We start from the raw sequence: 13,654 nt of genomic DNA, 5'->3' as shown, positions 1-13,654 counted from the left end.
TCTGGCACCTCTCTTTATGGTGCTGAGATCCATCTGTGGTTTCCCTCGTGGCTGGCCTCACGGTTTTGGCAAAAGAGTGTGAGCATATTTGGATTTGAGAAGGTCCCTTGTCACTACCACGTGGAGAACTCAGATTCCACCTCATCCTCAGGACTCGGGGGCAAGGGCCACCCTTCCTGGCCTGAGGAAGTGGCTGCAGGGGCCACTTTTTTTCCCTGTTATTTTGTTTAATGACTACTTTTCTTTGTTCTTTTGAGATTTGACTCAAAACTGCCAATCATATCTATATGATGGAACTAAGCAGAGACCAAAGAAGGGAAACAACACAGTCCAGCAGCCTCATTTATATTTACCCTTTTTTTTTTATACTTTAAGTTCTAGGGTACATGTGCACAATGTGCAGGTTTGTTACATATGTATACATGTGCCACGTTGGTGTGCTGCACCCATTAACTTGTCGTTTACATTAGGTATATCTCCTAATGCTATCCCTCCCCCCTCCCCCCACCCCACAACAGGCCATGGTGTGTGATGTTCCCCTTCCTGTGTCCAAGTGTTCTTGTTGTTCAATTCCCACCTATGAGTGGGAACATGCAGTGTTTGGTTTTTTGTCCTTGCGATAGTTTGCTGAGAATGATGGTTTCCAGCTTCATCCATGTCCCTACAAAGGACATGAACTCATCCTTTTTTATGGCTGCATAGTATTCCATGGTGTATATGTGCCACATTTTCTTAATCCAGTCTATCGTTGATGGACATTTGGGTTGGTTCCAAGTCTTTGCTATTGTGAATAATGCCGCAATAAACATACAGGTGCATGTGTCTTTATAGCAGCATAATTTATAATCCTTTGGGTATATACCTCGTAATGGGATGGCTGGGTCAAATAGTATTTCTAGTTCTAGATCCTTGAGGAATCGCCACACTGTCTTCCACAATGGTTGAACTAGTTTACAGTCCCACCAACAGTGTAAAAGTGTTCCTATTTCTCCACATCCTCTCCAGCACCTGTTGTTTCCTGACTTTTTAATGATCACCATTCTAACTGGTGTGAGATGGTATCTCATTGTAGTTTGGAGGCATCACACTACCTGACTTCAAACTATACTACAAGGCTACAGTAACCAAAACAGCATGGTACTGGTACCAAAACAGAGATATAGACCAATGGAATAGAACAGAGCCCTCAGAAATAATACCACACATCTACAACCATCTGATCTTTGACAAACCTGACAAAAACAAGAAATGGGGAAAGGATTCCCTATTTAATAAATGGCACTGGGAAAACTGACTAGCCATATGCAGGAAGCTGAAACTGGATCCCTTCCTTATACCTTATATTTACCCATTTTTAAATAACAAAGGCTATCTCTTATAGCTGGAAGGAGGAGACCAGGAGCGTTGCACTGTGACTTCTTGCAGAGCAAGCATCTTGCTTTGTGTTCAGCCTGTAATTGGCTCTTTTCTTTCCAAAATCCACTACTGTTATGAGATACTTGGGATGTCACTTTTCTGGCCAGAAACATCTGTGGCTGGTACCATTTTTGCCCGAGTTTTGCTCAAACCCACTGGGCTCATTCTGCCCACTCTCTGCAGTCAGAAATCACTGGTTGTCCCCATAATTGTCAAAGGTGACAAATAACTCAAAAGAAAAGCTTCCTTGATTCTGAAAAACAAAATAAAGGATCAGCAATGTTCCAAGCAAAAAGTCAAAAAAGATTACTTCAGTCTTCCATAAGTTCAGTCCACCCAGTCAACTCTTGTTCACAATCTCCGAAGTTATCAGAAACCTGCACTCGAGGACTATAATCCATTTTTTGAAGAGGATTAAAACAAGACAGCAATTGCCTGTGAATATCAGTGTCCTAAGGTAGTCACAGTCAAAAACATGATTGGCAAAGAAATTTGATCACCTCTGTGGTCAACAATAACCTAACACAATAACCCTAATTATGATTGAAAACACATACTCAGACATCAGAATTTTAGAAATCCCATACATTTTGAAACACATATTAACATTATTCACTAAAATGTAACCTGAAGAAGATCAAACACCACTTTATTTTGACAATTCCATGTGACTAAACATGTCAGATAATCCTGTTTACCTCTGCTTTGAATGCTCCAGGGGTCAGAAAAGACAATTTTGAAGCTGAAATTTGATTTTGGGGAGCCTATCAAATGTGTTAAAGGTTTAAAACACTTGACATTATGAAATAGAATTCCAGGTTACCATAAGTCACTTATTTAGCCAAAATGCTGACTCAAAAAAAGAAGGTAAAAACCTTTACACATTAAGAGAGAAGACTTAGCTTTCTAAACAATCTGTCTCTTGTTTTTCCCTTTTTCTTTCGGTAGTTTATTTGCAAGGCAAACAAAAATCTTTCATCATCCTTTAACATTACCTGAAAATCTTAATCAGTTTGACCATGAGCTGAGATTCTCCTAATCCTTTTATAACCCTTTACAAATCTTTGTTAAAGAGGAGGTCAGTGCTCTGAGAAACTCTTGTGCTTTTATTCCAATGTTCAATTTACAGAAAAACCAAATAATGCCCTTGTGAATTTAGTCGATATGTTCACACACAGCATTTCTTTTTCAAGATTAATCTTTAAAAACCTCCCATAACTTGTTTAAACCTTTAGCTTTATCTTATCTAATTTAAAACAATCCTTTAACCCTCTGAACTAGGCAAAAATTTACATTCCGTGCCTTCTTATATTCTTTTACTAAAGACACATTTTACTTTCCTTACACATTTTACATGTAAATCTCCTTTTAAGTAGTCTCAAATTACATGTTATAATGGTAACTCTTGGCAATTTTTAATTTTGGTGTAAAACCTGGTAAGTTATTTTAATTATGTGTTAGTTGCAGACAAGGTCTGACTCTTTCCAGTATGGATGTAGTTAACTCTCTATGTCCCTAGGCCCTACAAAACTGTAAAGCAGGAAAGTTAAACAATTTTCAAAAATGAAAGAAGCAGTTTATAACCTTTAAAGCATTTAGCAAACCTAATATCTGACCTGCATAATTTGGACCGTATGTCTACATGTTGAAGATATTTTATTTTTCAAAGATGAAAGTCACGTGAACTAAAAGGCATTACAGCTTTATCTTTCTTTCAAAATATTTGACTTAGGCATTTATTTTTCTTTAAGCCAATCAATTAGAGCTTTTTTTTAATGTGTCACACCTGACACATATATAACTACACAAACAGACAGAAGAAGATCCAGTAGTTGTAAAATTTTTCACTTGCCAATCTCCTAATTGGATTTGCCAATCTCCTAGTTGGATTACTGGCCTTGGGGTGGAGTCCTTCAAGAACCAGGGCTAGGAAAACGTGCAGTTTCTAAGCCCTAATAGGTAGGCCTAGGTGGAAGACAAAAACAAATTTTGAGAGGGATGCATCTGCTTCTAATCCCTGGAGTTCTGTGAGGAAAATAGGTTTTTCCCAAAACAGGGTCCATGGCGCCTCCTCCATTTTCCCAAGGAGTCCCAGCCGTCAGAAGTTCTCATGGGGCCTCTCATGTGTGCATTAAGAGTGGCAAGACAAAAATGAAGAAAAATAATTCAGTCGACTGAGAAGAAAAAAACCTTTTTCCAGAAAAACAAGATCCATGAAGAGAAAAGACAACAAAAGCCTTTTAAATATACTTATAGCATGGACATCCATCTTTAATTAACCTGACCTATAGCTTGCAGCTTGGATACCCATCTTTTTTTTTTTTTTTTTTTTTTGAGACAGAGTCTTGCTCTGTCATCCAGGCTGGAGTACCGTGGTGCGATCTCGGCTCACTGCAACCTCTGCCTTCTGGGTTCAAGCGATTCTCCTGCCTCAGCCTCCTGAGTAGCTGGGACTACAGGTGTGTGCCACCATCCCTGGCTAATTTTTGTACTTTTAGTAGAGACTGGGTTTCAGCATGTTGGCCAGGATGGTCTCAATCTCTTGACCTCATGATCCGCCCACCTTGGCCTCCCAAAAGTTGACTTTTAACCATAGGGCTCCTCTTTAAGAAGTCCTTTTAAATCTCTTATTACCTGACCTTAGCCACGCCAAATGGCCAATACTTCAATACTTCTAGCTTTTGAACTCATGGAGGGGCAGATAATACAGTGATTTTTACCATGACTCTTGACATGGTGGAGGAAAGACCTGAGACGCCCCTCACGGTCATGCATCTTGGGGACTCTGAGGTTTGTGAGCCTGCAAGGTGGCTTTTAGAGGCTCTGCTTTTTTCTTGTATTGCCTTTCTCTTTTTTGGACTTCCTTCTGGTCCCTATTGTAAAAGACTGAGGTGGCCACTTTTAGGAGGTTCTCTAAAGTACTATCTCGTCCTATAGCCTGTTTCTGTAGCTTCTTCCTGATATCCGGAGGCCACCTTTGTGATAAACTTGTCCTTTAGGATTAGCTGTCCCTCGACTGAATCAGGAGCTAGAGAGGTGTGCTTTACCAAAGCCCCTCTTAGCCTTTCCGGAAGGCAGTGGGATTCTCATCTAATCCCTGATCTATCATGGCGATCTTGGAGGAATTGAGAGGCTTAGTCCTAGTTCTTCACAAGCCCTCCAGTATGTACACCTGAATGTGTTTCCCCCTCCATTCTCCCATTTCATCCTTAGGGTCCCATTTAGGGTCCTCCAGTGGTGCTGCTATTTTTCCAATCATATAAGTCTCATTCCCTTCCTTGGCCCTATATAAGATACAAAGCTCATCCCCCAAATTCTCTACTACTTGCAGGGTGGCCTGCTTTCCAGTGGTGGTCAGGGATTGATTCAAAAGTAACATGACATCCTTCCAGGAGAGCTCAAATATTTTGATTAAGTTCTGGAAAGCCTCTATATCCCTGTCAGGGCTGCCTGAAAACTTGCCAAGATCTGCCTTAATTTGCCTTAAGTCTAGTAGAGAAAAGGGGACCTGGACCTCAATGGGGCCATATTCACCAGGCATCTGTTGTAGGGGCAGTTGAGACTGGGACCTGCCTAAAACGAGGATTCCTAGGCTGGGGCAAGCTTGAGAGATAACCTGGATAGGGAGGAGCAGAGGGGGTTGATTCTCCTGCTGGAGGTACTTCTGGGGTTTGCTTCCCTGGTATTGCCCCTTGCAGCCTCTCCTGAGATGGCCAGTAGGAGGGCTGAATCAATCCTACATCAGCAAAGGTCCAGGCTACCCTGCAAGGCAAAGAAGGCCTGCACATATGGGACCATGGACCATTTGCCCCCGCGTTTACAGAAAGGCTTCCTTCCTGAGGCCGTGCTTCTTTTCTGTGCCTCAAGGTGCTTGGCACTAAGTTATCACCCAAGGAAATGACAAGAACATTTTTGCCACAAATTTATGTACAGATACCAAGGCACACTTGGCTTCTGTGCTACTCTTAACCTTCCATTTTAGACTTCTGATGACTAAGCCAAATGCTCATTCAATCCAGTACTAGCTCTGGTTTGCAACAACATCCTTAACATTTATTTTTTTTTTTTGAGACAGAGTCCTGCTCTGTCACCTGGGCTGGAGTGCAGTGCCACAGTCTCAGCTCACTGCAACCTTTGCCTCCCGGGTTCAAGCGATTCTCCTGCCTCAGCCTCCTGAGTAGCTGGGATTACAGGCACCACCACGCTGGGCTAATTTTTTTGTATTTGTAGTAGACACAGGGTTTTGCCATGTTGGCCAGGCTGGTCTCGAACTCCTGACCTCAGGTGATCCACCCACCTCAGCCTCCCAAAGTGCTGGCACAGACATAAGCCACTGTGCCTGGCAACATCCTTAACATTTAACATGGTACATAAAGAAGAAATAGGAACCTTGATATCCTGAAAGAAAGAAAGAATGTTAGGAAAGACCGGAGGTCCTAGTGCTGACACTGTAACAGGTGGTCAGGGACTGGAGTTAGTCCACGGGCCTTTGAATTAGGCCAAAGGGTAGCCTTGGCCAGATACCCTCAGTTGCCTCAGGACCTCCTTCTGGTCCCACACAATGGCTAGACCTCTGTGAAAGAAAACTGGTTTGGAACAAAGCCAACATTCCCAACATCTGAGGGTAATGGAGGGTTGCCAGTGTCCTCCCCAGCAAGCCTGTCCTCCGTGTCCTAAGTCTGGCAGCCACACTAGTTGCTCTTAACTGGCTGATAGAGGCCTGGTATTTTTCTTTCATTTTGACTATTGTGGAGTTTAGAGACTTTGAAAAAAGGACAGAAAGAGTAGATCTGCGCACATGTACCCTAAAACTTAAAGTATAATAAAAATAAAATAAAATAAAAAGAGTAGATCTGCTTTTACTCACCCTTCTGCAGATCCTGGACAAGCCCTCCAAAATGTTATGGGATCCTTGAGGTGTTGCTTTTCTAGCCAGAAACCTCTGTGGTCAGTGGTACCTTTTGCCCGAGTTTTGCTTGGACCCTCTGGGCTCATTCTGCCCACTTGGCCTGGCAGGCTATGCCGGCTCATGTTCCTAGCCTGGATCCCATGCCTGGCAAGGGCAAGCCAGGCATGGGGCGGTGAGGGGTGCGTGAGTGAATGAGCATGGGGTCTGGTCACTGCACACAGGCACGCCGGCTGCTGCAGCAGGGCGGGCAACTCCAGGTGCCAGCATGGGTACAGGCTCTCTGTGAGGCTGCAGCTGGATCAGGTGCAATGCAAGTAGCTTCCATAGCTGCCGCCAGGGGACACAGTGGTGCCTGGAAGCTTGGAGACTCCAGGAACTGCAGCATCCCAAAGAGAGAGGCACAGCCCTGGCTCAGGGAGCTCCCAGGTCTGGGATCTCTGAAGGATTACAGCTCTTCTCTCCTGCTCCTCACCTGCAATGTCACAAACAAGGGGCATGTTTCAGCTCTGTTTGTGTTATAGACCTTTCAGACCTGCCATTCAACAGGTCCCAAGTTCTTGTCCCACATCCAGGAGGAATGAGGTATGTGGACAAGTGGAGAGTGAGCAAGGTGAAGAGGAGCTTTATTGAGTGATAGACTAGCTCAGAGGAGGCCCTGGAATGGGTAGCTCCTTCTGCAGGCAGGTCATCCCATCGTTCTCTGAAGCTCTCAGCAGAGAGGAGACCCTGGAATGGGTAGCTCCTCTCTGCAGCTGGTTTTCCCAACATCTGCTCAGCTCTGGCTGAGTCTGGGGGTTTTATGGGTCTCAGAGGGAGGAAGTGAGTGCCAATTGGTCCATGGGCAGCCATGGGGGGATCTGGAAAAAGCACCACAAGTTCCCACTTTGGTCCATGGAACTGGTAGCCTGGCCCCGAGCCTTCAGGCCCTTTCTGGCCTGAAGGTAGGGCCTCACCAGAGACCCACCCTCTTCCACCCAGGAACCTATTTGCCTCCTGCTGCCATTCATGGTGGCCAAGCTGTAGGTGCCAAGGGGCACCTGCAGGCCAGCACTGAGCTACCATCTGTACCCCATTGGCTTCTCTCTTATGCTTGCTGGTGTCCAAAGTTTGGAGACAGCTGAGGCAGCAGGGGACTGGCATGTCAGCATTGCACTGAGTGTGTGTATACCTGGCCAGGCCTTGACAGTGCCTGGGCTTGGCCCCAACTTTGCTCCAAGATCAAAGTGGGTGCCAACAGCAGGGGGAAGCCAGGTACTTCCAAGCCTGCTAGGGCAGGGGGAGCCTTCCTGGGCCCCTAAGAGTGCAGGGATGCCTGGGTCCACAGCAGTGGTTGGGGTGGACTGCAGCTGCCCTGGTGGGGTTGGGCCCCTGCCTGCTCCATGGCCCGGGAGGCCCAGGTCTGCAGCCACAGTTTGGGCAGTTGTGGCTGCACCCAGGGAACTCCTGCCCCACCAACTCAGAAGGGGCGGGGCTTCCACTTGTCCCAGGTTCCCACCAGCTCCATGGAGTGTGCAGTCCCAGCTGTGCCTCCCTGCTGCAGCCAGCGTGATGGCAGCAGCTACTCCAGACAGCCCGCTGCTGCCATTGTTATGGCTGATAAAAACTGCTGGTACCATCAGGATGCAACATAGGCCAGCAACTTCCAAGAGCAGAGAGGTAGGAGTCAAACATGCCACCACACAAGGAGCAGCATTTTTCAGAGCTGGACACTGGATCATAGTGCAGCTTTCTACCTTCTTGGCATTGCATAAGTCCATACAGTGGTGAAGAGGGCCAGCAATACCTGAATCAGATAAGCACCGCTTTCTGGGCTGCCATATTGAAGGTCATGTCCATTGATGGCTAACACACAATCATTCTCCTCCAGCTGACCATGTCAATCAGCCACACTACCATCTAGCACGTTGAAGATAAACACCCCAGGCTCATCCACCTTGCACACCAATTTTATTCCAAGCTGTTCCTTGGGGCTACTTTTGTTGCAAATCACATGGCAGCTGTCATCCTGGGGTCTGTAGGCATCCAGGGCCTGTCCACTGTTCCTGCTGCAGAACTTCTGGTTGTGCAGCATGGTCAGTCACAACACCTGGTAGGGCTGCCGCAGGAGATGCAGAGCGTAGTTGTGAGAGACTTTGCTAATGTCCATCCCATTGACATTTAGGATGATGTCTCCTGGTAGTAGCTGGTCATCTCTGGCATTTGCCCCATCATGATAAATGTGTTGGATGATACGGACCAGTGGGGTTTCACTGCCTCCCATCAGCATAATGGAGAGGCTTTCACTGGGATCCACTTGATTGATCTTGATGCTGGTAATTTCACCATCTGGGATCAGGTGGTACAACCTTGGAAAGACTTCAGGGGTGGTGATGTTTTCAGAATTTTCCTTGCCCTGGTTAGCTCGGTTGGCGACTACACTCCCACTCTTTATCCTTCGAAGAACACTCAAAGCTCGATTATTTTTGGAAAGATTTGCTTCTAATTGTTCTGTGATGACCGATGCTGCCGGACAGCTTTCCTACGTGGTTGTACGAGTTGCTGGATTGCTCAAAGGGCTGTGTCCTAGTTTGGTTGCTCTGGCCAGACAGAGTTCCCTGGGCTGATTGCTGGCTGACTGTCCTCTGCCAGGCACACAGGCGAGGTTGTCTAGGCCAAGCTTGTCTGTCATTAAGGAGGTGGTGGCAGCTGCAGAAACCTCTGGGGAGGGTGCCATGGCTGTGAGGCTCACACAGCTGTCTGATCAGCCATCTTCTGAGCCCCTCTTCCTGTCTTTTTTCAGGCCATCATGGGAGGTCCTTTTGTGATGAGTAGAAGTTCCTGACGATGTATGGCATTGAGGGGACACAGAGAGAGGAGTGATAATTTTCAACAGGGGAAGTCAGAGTGGCTGCAGGGGTAGAGAGCAGAGGAAATATTTGTGAGATTAGAGAGAAAGAATGGACATCATGTGGCCAGGGACTGGCTGAGCCACAGAGGGAGGACTGGCATGCCCAGCGAGGTGGCCCACCAGCCCCTCTGAGGTCACCAGGTGGGCACAGAGGAAGGCGAGGTTGAGAGGCAGATGGCAGGTCCTGTTCTGGATGCAGGGAGTCTGAGAGCCCAGGGTGTGGCCAGGAGGGACGTCTAGTGGAGGCTGGGTGGCGAGGGCTAACCCTCAGAAAAGAGGGTCCCATGACAGGGAGGCATTGACACAGCCATGACTGAAGCTCGGGGAGTGAGTAAGATCTCCCATGGCTGTGGGAAGTAAGAAAGAGAGGGCCCAAACTGAGGAGCTCGCAATGGGTACAAGGCCTTGATGGGCCCTGGCAGAAATGCACCCAGGAGGGGGTGAGGCCCCAGGAGCAGAGAGGAGGGTCTCACTGCCCAGAGTGGCCAATGTCATATGCTGCCCATCGGTCAGGGAAGTGGCCAACCACATGTGTGTGGATCCACCCACCATGTGGTGGGCAGGGTCCTGGAGAGGCCCAATGGCGATGACAAAGAGCAGCACTGGGGTGCAGGGAACAGAGAATACGATGGCTGCTCATCAGTTAAAACACTTCCACATGAACTGGTACGACCATGTAGGAAAACTGTCTGGCAATATCGGTCATCACAGAACAAACATCTACCCCAGGACCCAGGCGTTCCAGGGCAGGCAGACACCTGACAGATGTGCAAGAAGGGACAGGATGCAAGAAGAGCCAGAGCAGCTCCACTCATGAGAGCCCCATCCAGACAACAACCCAAATGAGTCACCCTATTCGTCCCATCATGGAGGAACAAATAGAGGGCCTGTGATCCAGCGGATGGTGGCATACTGCTCAGTGACCCTCCATTGGGAGAATCCCAAAGAGAGACCCGAAGGGCACATGCCAAAACAGCCCACCTCAGGCAAAACCACCACATAGGAGCAGATCAGAGAGTGGTGACCTTGAGAGGAGGCTCAAAGAGCCCTGGGGGCCTAGCTGTGATGCTTCTTCACCCAGGTGCAGGAGGCACAGGTGTATCCAGTGTGAGGACATCCTGTGTTCCATGATCTCCAGGAGAAAAAAGAAATAAAAGATTTAAAAACAAAAAAACTTGAAAAAGGACTGTACTGTCCTCTGTATGCGTGTTTGACTTTAATAAAAACTTACTTTAAAAAATAGCCCACTTCTGGGGCCAAGTGCAGTGGTGCACACCTCTAATCCCAGCACTCTGGGAGGCTGAGGTGGGAGGATTGCTTGAGTCTGGGAGGTAGAGGCTGCAGTGAACCGTGATTGTGCCACCACACTTCAGCCTCGGCAATGGAGCGAGACCTTGTCTCTTAAAGAAAGAAAAGTCAACTTCACAGGCACCCAGTGGCCTCTAAGATAAGCTCCACATCCTGGGCAGCCCCTTCCTGCTCTGCCCCCACCTCCCATCCCAGCCCTCCTCTACACCTTCACTCCTTCTGCCTGGGACACCTACCTCAGCCCAGGCTCTGTTGGCCTGACAGGCTCCTACACACCCCTTGGGGCCCTCCCAAGCCTAACTCGAGCAGAGGGAGGCCCAGGCCTCAGTGTCAGCTGACTCTAAGGAATCGTGGGGATGAAGATAGATTCCTCCTGCTTCTCTACGCGCCCTGCCTCCTCTCCACCCTGGCCCTGAAAGGGGAGGCGCCTGCGTTTGTGCTCACCCATGGAGGTTTGTCATGCTTTGGCCACACGTCAGGCTGAAAGATGTTGAAAGAGCAGGGGCCTGGGAGTTTCTGAAGACGGCGATCTCTAGGGAGCAGGGCTGCGGCTTGGCTCATGCCTCCAGGTCCTCCAAGTCTCAGCATCAATGTCACTTCCTCTGGGAGCCCCGATGGCCATCACCAAACCAGGCTGTTGACTCCACAAGAACCAACAGGGATCTGGAAACCGGGGTCAGGCCCTGCCCCTCCACTCTCTGCTCCCGTCAAGCCTCAGGAAGTTCTGTCATCTCTGAGCTGTTTTCACATCCAATAAATGTGACTTCCTATCGGGTTGTTGTGGGAATTAAAGAAGTTCAATCACCAAAATCCTGTCTTCAACACAGATCCGGGATCTGAGCACCTCTGCCCTTCTCCTCTGATCCAAGCCACCTTCCCACTCTGTGGACCATCAGGGGTCTCCCTGCTTCCTCCTTGCACACTGCAGCTGGAGTGTCAGATCATGTCCCTCCTTGGCTCAGAGCCCACCAGCGACTTCCCGTGTCCTCTGGAGCAAAGCCCAGGTCCTCGCAGTCTCCCAAAGGCCCTACCCAGATGGTGTCCTGTTGCCTCTCATCTCCTCCCACTGTCCCTCTCTCCCTCCACAGTAGCCACACCCAGCCCCTTGCTACTCTTGGAATGTGCCTGGCACACCACTGCCTCAGGACCTTTGCACATGCTCATCCCTCTGCCTGGAACCCTGTTCCCCCAGATGTCTGGGTGGCTCCACTCTCTCCACATCTTTGCTCAAATGTCACCTTCATGAGCTTTTCCATGACCACCTACTCAAAGTGTAGCCACCATTGCCCAGCACTTGTGGTTCCCCTTACCCGGCTTTGATTTCCTCTATGACTCTTACTGCCATCTGCCGCCATGAATTTCATTTAATCAGTTGTTTATCATCTGCTCCTTTCCACTAGAACAACAGCTTCTTGTGGTGAGGATTTGGACTTTTTTCCACTGGCACATCCCCAGCACACAGAACAGCACTTGGCATACAGTAGGCACTTGATGAGGGCCCTGGCTGGGTGTATTCCAATGGCTGATGGCCCGTGCCATACCAGTTACTAAGGATCTGAAAATCACTTCTAGTTGGGAACCTCTATTTGGACCCAGGCAGCGTTAGGTTTGCAGACCTGAGAGGAGTCAGTGCATTTGGGGATCAGAGGCAGAGAGGGGTCCCTTGCCTCTAAAACAGTGGTCCCTAACCTTTTTGGCACCAGAAACTGATTTCATGGAAGACAATTTTTCCACAGACTGGGGGTGGGAGGGGGATGGTTTTGGGATGAAACTCTCCCACCTCAGATCATCAAGCATTAGATTCTCATACAGAGTGTGCAACCCACAATAGGGTTCACGCTCCTGTGAGAATCTAGTGCCACTGCTGACCCAACAGGAGGCGGAGCTCAGGCAGAAATACTTGCCTGCCCACTGCTCACCTCCTGCTGTGCAGCCTGGTTCCCAACAGGCCATGGGGGTTGCCTGCCCTAAAATACCTTCTTATTTAGTTGCCACAAGGCTTCAAATCCCACTGTTCTCACTCTTTGGAGTTTAATTTGTTCCTAATGGTTCTCTTTTTTTTTGAGACTAAGTCTCACTCTGTTGCCCAGACTGGAGTACAGTGGCCCAATCTCAGCTCACTGCAACCTCTGCCTCCTGGGTTCAAGTGATTTTCCTGCCTCAGCTTCTCCAGTGGCTGGGATTACAGGCACATGTCACCACACCCAGCTAAGTTTTTTTTTTTTTAATTTTCAGTAGAGGCAGGGTTTCACCACGTTTGGCAGGCTGGTCTCAAACTCCTGACCTCAGGTGATCCGCCCACCTCAGCCTCCCAAAGTGCTAGAGACATGAGCCACCACACCTGGCTGCTTCTCTTTTCAAATGAAAATGTTACAATGCCACTGGCATCTGGCAGCTTGACAGGGCGATTCTGCCGATCTGGCCTGGGCTTGGCTGGGCAGTTGTGGTCCAACAGGCTCACTCACATGTCTGCCATTGGCTAAGGTCAGCGGCCCCTGGCTCATCTAGGAGCCTGGTCCTCCAGCAGGCTAACCTGGGCATATATCCTTATGCCAATCACAGGGATCAGGGTATGGGAAGGTTGGGGAAAGGGAGAGAGGGAAGCTGAAGAGCCTCTTGAGGACTAGGCTTGGAATTAACACACCATCATTTCTGGCACTTTCTATGGGCCATAGATAAGGCCTGAGTCAGATGGTGGGGAAATAGACTGTACCTTTTGGTGGGAGGAATTGCAAAGTCACATTTACCATGAGTGGTTCAAGGCCAGAGATAAGCAAGTCTCCCACATGTTTGTTTGTATCTTTCCACAATGTCAGGCTTTTTTTTTTTTTTTTTTTAATGCTACTTCGATCATAAAAGCCACCAGCTCTATGGAGTTCCCAAAGAGGAGGAGACAATTTTTAGCACTTGGCATTCACACAGGCTCAAGCCACTTCACAGATCAGTCAGTATTGCAAGCCATACATAACATACTTATCAATATATAAACATTATAGATTGAAAATTACGCATCAAACAAAGTAACATGGCATGAGAAAAGGGATAGGAAAAAGGGTTAATAAGCCAGTCCAGGGAGAGCGATGTGAACAAAAAGAATATTCTGGTCTGGCTTGGGCAGCTCAGCAGCATCACAG

The 13,654-nt window shown here is 48.0% G+C and overlaps 1 pseudogene, besides 1 other annotated feature; it reads right to left on the bottom strand.

Moving 5' to 3' along the window:
- Positions 6,915–7,115: a silencer, noted in NCBI's record as "peak2757 fragment used in MPRA reporter construct". NCBI's record gives its function as "represses an SCP1 promoter by STARR-seq MPRAs in K562 erythroleukemia cells {active_cell/tissue: K562}" and the evidence as "EXISTENCE:reporter gene assay evidence [ECO:0000049][PMID:32103011]".
- Positions 8,088–9,140, bottom strand: LOC644909 (ligand of numb-protein X 1, E3 ubiquitin protein ligase pseudogene; annotated as a pseudogene).

The sequence above is a fragment of the Homo sapiens genome, chromosome 17 (genome assembly GCF_000001405.40).
Source record: "Homo sapiens chromosome 17, GRCh38.p14 Primary Assembly".
Classification (NCBI taxonomy): domain Eukaryota; kingdom Metazoa; phylum Chordata; class Mammalia; order Primates; family Hominidae; genus Homo; species Homo sapiens.
This window is presented reverse-complemented; position numbering and strand designations above follow the sequence as displayed.